The sequence below is a fragment of the Homo sapiens genome, chromosome 6, assembly GCF_000001405.40.
Source record: "Homo sapiens chromosome 6, GRCh38.p14 Primary Assembly".
Taxonomy (NCBI): domain Eukaryota; kingdom Metazoa; phylum Chordata; class Mammalia; order Primates; family Hominidae; genus Homo; species Homo sapiens.
This window is the reverse complement of record NC_000006.12, coordinates 91,453,277-91,459,176: the sequence shown is the minus strand read 5'-3', so window position 1 is coordinate 91,459,176 and position 5,900 is coordinate 91,453,277.

Below are 5,900 nucleotides of genomic sequence, written 5' to 3'. Positions count from 1 at the left end.
GTTTAAATTTAATCCAGTGTGACCATGTACATAGCTGCTAGGGCCTGGTCTCTCATTTAGGTAGGTTTTCAGTCTCTTAGACTGAACTACTCCCAGTCTCTTAGACTGGGAACTACAATTCAAGATGAGATTTGGGTGAGGACGCAGACGTACCATATGACATACCTCTCTTCTTGTCTTTTTCCTAAGGTGGGGTACAAGAGGACTGTGTGGGTGACTTGACCCTGAAGTTTTAGAGGATAGAAGAATATGCCGACCTTGTGCTGGTCATTGGGTCTACACTAACTACTGTCTACTGGAATCTGGTACAATGCTTCCTGTCTACCTACAGACTACTAAGGCTTCAATCTGCGGCTAGTGCATTTGTGGTTCTTTATTTTTGGCTGGGCAATGTTCCTGGAGTAATTTGAGCTCCCTTTGGCCATGCTGATTGCAGGTCCATCTGCTCCTACCTACCCCAATGTCCTGTAGTCCACCCAGCTTCTACTGCAAGATTAATTGCAGGCACCTGGCAGGCACACTGACTTTCCACTAATGCACCCCACACATGAACCGAGAGGCTGGGGAAGGCCACCAGATCCTCTCCCAGCATGATCACAACTTTCCACTCTTTTAGCTAGACTGGGTTGCCTGTGATGTTACAGGTTTCTTCTCCAATTCCAAACGGAGAGTGCAGAGAGAGATCTTTCCATGCTAGATATACCTCTCAATTTTTCTAACACATGTTCTCTCCAAGCCCAGAGAAAGGAGATTCAGACTATGTTGGTTTGTGTAATTCATTCTCTGTCCCTTATTCTTTTTCCTTTTTCTCTTTTCCATAGCCCCTTAACACTGAGAACTTCTAGTCTACTTTTCCCACATCGTATACTCTTTACCTCTTTACACCGCAGAACAGCAAACCTCATGGTTTTGCTATTAAAAGCAGAAAAGCCACTTTTCTGAACTTTGGTAGAATACTTTGAGCTAGATCTTTTCCAGTATGGTTAATGGGTTAAGAGAAGAGCGGAAGGGGATTGCTAAAGAAATAGAGCAAATCCTATGTCTCTGCAAAATTTGTCTGTCCAGCCTATTGTTTTGTTCAGGTACCAGTTTCTCATGGATAATGTTGAGGAGCTGAAGTGAAATATGATTTTAAAATTAATTTCTGACAAACAGTTGTTCTTTATTACATTTATAATATGTATGTTTTTCATCCCAGAAAACTGAGGCTCAAAGATGCTAAATAACTTGCTCCGGTCAAATTCCCACTTCTACTTGCATCTGATGCCCCCTTTGCCTTCATTAATATGTTGACACCTTGGCTGAGTTCTTAGTCCTCTTCCCTTCTCAGAAGCCTGCACTCCACAGCTTTTCCACAACACATTTGCCTACTGAATCTTACCAATATTCCTCCTGGTGTCTTACGAACCTTCTTTCATAATGTTCTATATGATATAAAATGGAAAAATAAAAAAATCATTCAATATTAAAGTCTAAGGACAAAACATCCCAGGCCATGTAGAAAGTAACTCTTTAAAATTACTCTTGCAGGCCAAATTCATTCAGTCAACAAATGTTTATCAAATTGCTTTGTCCCAGGCACATTTTAGGCACTGAGAGTACTGCCCTGAAAACAACAAATTTTCTCACGGAAGGAGGCCTATACAAGCTCCAAAAGGACTCCAATCCATGGGAGGGAGACAGACAACAAATACATTAACAAATAACTATATAATACTTCAGATGACGGTAAGTGATATGTGGAAAGTGAAACAGGATAAGGTGGATGTGACAGCAGTATCTATTTGTTTTATATACAGTGTAAGTGAAGGCCTTTCTATCTTTGTATTAGTCTGTTCTCACGTTGCGAATAAGGACATACCAGTCTATAAAAGAAAGAGGTTTAATTGACTCACAGTTCAGCATGGCTGGGGAAGCCTCAGGAAACTTATTAATGCAATCATGGTGGAAGGGGAAGCAACACATCCTTCTTCACATGGCAGCAGCAAGGAGAAGTTCAGAGCAAAGTGGGGAGAAGCCCCTTATAAAATCATCAGATCTCATGGGAACTCACTCACTATCACAAGAACAGCATGGAGGTAGCCACCCCTGTGATTCAATTACCTCCCACCAGGTCCCTCCCTCGACATGCAGGGATGATGGGAACTACAATTCAAGATGAGATTTGGGTGAGGACACAGACATACCATATCAATATTCAAGCCAAGACCTGAAGGAAGCAAGAGAGTAAGAAATACAGATGTCTGGGGAAAGTCCATTCCAGGCACAGAGAGCAGGAAGTATGCTTGTATGTTCAAGGAAAAAGATGGGCCCCATTGTGGCCAGAAGAAGGAAGACCAGGGGAAGAATGGTGGCAGATGAAGAGGAGACATATGGGCCTTTGGGACTCTGCCTTTCATTCTTTAAAAGGGGCAAGGCCACTGCAAGGTTTTGAAAAGAAGATTGTTATCAACTGACTTGAGCTGCTAGGTAGAGGCAAAACTATGGGAAAGCAGCAGTGAAATCAGGAGGAACAGTTAGGAGGTTACTGCAATAGCCTGGGAAAAAGATGTGGGCTTAAATCAGAATAGTGAGAACAGTTTTGTTCAGATCTAACAAGCCACTCCAAATTTAGAGAAATAAGACAAATATTTAATTATGCTCATGAATTCTGTGCATCAGGAATTTGAACAGAGAAGAACTGGAGAGCTAGCTTCAACTTCATGATTTATGGAGCCTCAGGTGAGAAGACATGAAAGTTGAGGGACTCAGTAGTTGGGGGCTGGTACCATCTGAAGCTTATTTACTCAGGTATCTGGTGAGCGATGATGGCTGTCCACTAAAAATGACTACATGTTTCTTCTTCATGTGTCTTGGACTTCTTCCCAGCATGGTAATTGGGTCACAAGATTGAGTGTCTCAATCAAATTGCATGGTCTTTTCAAATTAACAGACACCCTCTGACCAAACTTGGGTCAAGCTCCTGTGAGCCCTCTTTTTAACTAGGCCTCCACATTGTCTTGTCCTGTCTTTGGCTTACTGAGTCTAGTTTCAGGAAAAAATCCCAAGTCAGTCTCACAAGAATCTCCCCATCCTTGGCCAGTCCTTGGCCTGCTTTTAGTAGGAATCCTGTTAGGCCTGTGTAGCAAGAATCCATCAACCCTTATATCTCCCCTCAGTAATTTTCCATCTACTGCCCCCTCACTGTCCATTGGCTTTAAATCCTCAGCTGTCTTTTCAGTATTCAGAAATGCATTCAGTCTCCCTCCCCTATTGAAATAGTTTTAAATAATATCTGCCTTACCATTTTAACAAGTGTCTGAATTTTTGTTAACAAAATCTAGCCTCAGAAGACATACAGTGTCATTTTGGCCACGTTGTTTATGGAAGCAATTGCCAGCCCACCTAGATTTGAGAGCAGGATGATTAGAGTCTATTTCTTGATAGAGGAGAAGCAGTATTTGTTTTAAGAATAACTTGCAAAATAGGAGTTATTGCTGTGGTTGTCTTTGGAAAATAAATTTGTCCCAAGATTATATAAGGGAGAGTCATAGAAGAAATAAAATAATCTATTAAAAGCTTTTTTGGTGGGTATTTATCTTCTACCAAAAATACCAGGAATGTGCATTTTTTAAAATATAACATTCACTTTTTTCCCTTTAGAAAATAATTTATATTCAATACATCATAGAGATTAAGATCTCAGGTTATCCATTCCATCAATGGTTTAAATAATTCCTGGACCACTTTCTGTCTACTTGACTTTGAACAGGGTATTTATTCTCTTTTCTCCAAACCTCAGTTTTCTTATCTGTAATTGGCAGTCATAATAATAGTAACAATCAGAGTTTTTGAAAGTATTAAATGTGACAATTCATGTGAAGTTATATAATTATATAGAAATTGTTCGATAATTTTAGCTCTTATTACCTTCACCCTTATTATTGGAAACTTAAGATATGGAAAAATGAAGAAAATAAAAATAATCAGAAAGAGTACCATCCAGATAAATGTCTTGTGATACAATTACTATATTAGCATAATGTAAATGTGAAGAAAGTTAATATATTTTATTTTATTTACAGGTGTTAGAGTTGTTTTCTTCATATAGTAATTTTTTGCAATCAATTTTTATACGTATTTGATTAACTACCCTCTATATGAACCCCACATGCAAACATACACACAAACACACAAACATATGTATGTAAAAGGCAAAAAAGAAATAGATTTGCCACAGCCTCAGTGGTTTGGCCTTTTTCCACAAGAGTAGTGAAAAACGTATTTGAAGTGGATGTGGCTTAAACATAGGCATACCCCAAGCTAAATAAAAAACAAACATGAATTCTTCTCAAGGTGCAATTCATTCAAATAGAGGATTTGAAATTCGATAAAATGCCAATGCAAAGGCATATAATGCTTGAATGACATTAATTAGTTTAATATTGAGCCCAGGAGCAAGTGAGGCTCATCCACTGAATATGTACATAAGATTTTTCTATCAAGGAGAACCACAGAAAAATATCTAAAGTGGCTTCCTCCTCTTATTTACATTCAGGTTCCTATTAACATGTTCCTGAGAAAGAACTTTATGCAAATATAAGCCTTCCAACTTAATAGCAAACTGATCATAAGCTGAGCACTCTTCTTTTGTGAGCAAACACCTTGAAAAAGCATCTGAACCATGAAAGTATTTAAGAGACTATGATTTTAACCAGACTATATTTTAAGACATCAAGTAAAACGTAAGATTTAAAGTATCCTCCTATAATCTTAATCCCAGAAAACTTTACAGGTCTCTAACTTAACAGCATTAGTTGACAAATACTAAATTCACATTTCTTAACTGTTCACCAGTTCTTTTATAGGCTTTATTTTCAAGATTTTTTTTGGTTTTTCCTATATATGTAATTTGTGATCAGGAATTTTACTCTAATTTTCATCTTTTTCTCCCAAAATGAATATTATAAATCTGACCAGGCAGCCAATTTAACAGCTGTGACAACACAAGCCTCTTAGGTTTTTCAAATTAAAACCATTCCAAACTTATCTTGGTCACCCCAATTTAAAAACAAATCCATAGCAGTTTTAATATTTCTGTATATAATGATTTTTTTCTCTACACTAACCACGTATTTATTTTGAAAGTTCAATGACAGTTGTTCACAACAAATTATACTATTGTCACTGCATTCTTATATATGTAATGCTCCATCATTAATAAAACCATACTTCTTTGAGTTTCAGAAGTCTTTCACAGACAATTCAGCCAAAGGCCAGAAAAGAATCAGTATAACAATAGGAGCTAAGAAGTAAACTGGCAATTCTAAGATCATGACCTATCATACCTTTTTGACTATTAACTTATCATCTGACCTTCTGCTAGTCATTTACCCTCACATAGCCTTCTTTCTGAAGTGTGTAAAAATGGGAATGACAACACTCTGGTTACAGCTCAAAGAGATCAAGGAGAAAAAAAACTGGTACAGGGGCTGTAAAATACCTTGCAGGCTATAAAATACCACATAAATGCTTGATAGTAAAACAGCTACAGAGCTCCATCGTTTAATATAAAACTAGTTTTTCTGCTAAACAAAGTACTAGCAGAAGCAAGATCCAACAGGAAAAGATGCAGAGCTCCTGGTGATAATGAAGTGTTTGTTTATTTGTGTATTTGTTCAAATTGATTTTATGGACTGAGGGGGAGATATCTGCACAGACTATGTGATCAAATGTATAGAGTAATCCAGTCATCACATACTACTCTAAAAAGACAGTCTAATCAGGCATGCTGAAGTCAGAAGCTGGAAGGCAAAACATTACACAGTCCCATGGGTGTGTTCCTCTTCAAATGAGTTTGTGTATGTGTGGTTTTTGGCTAATGGAACTGTTTTATGGTAAACAACCAAAAGTAGAGATTT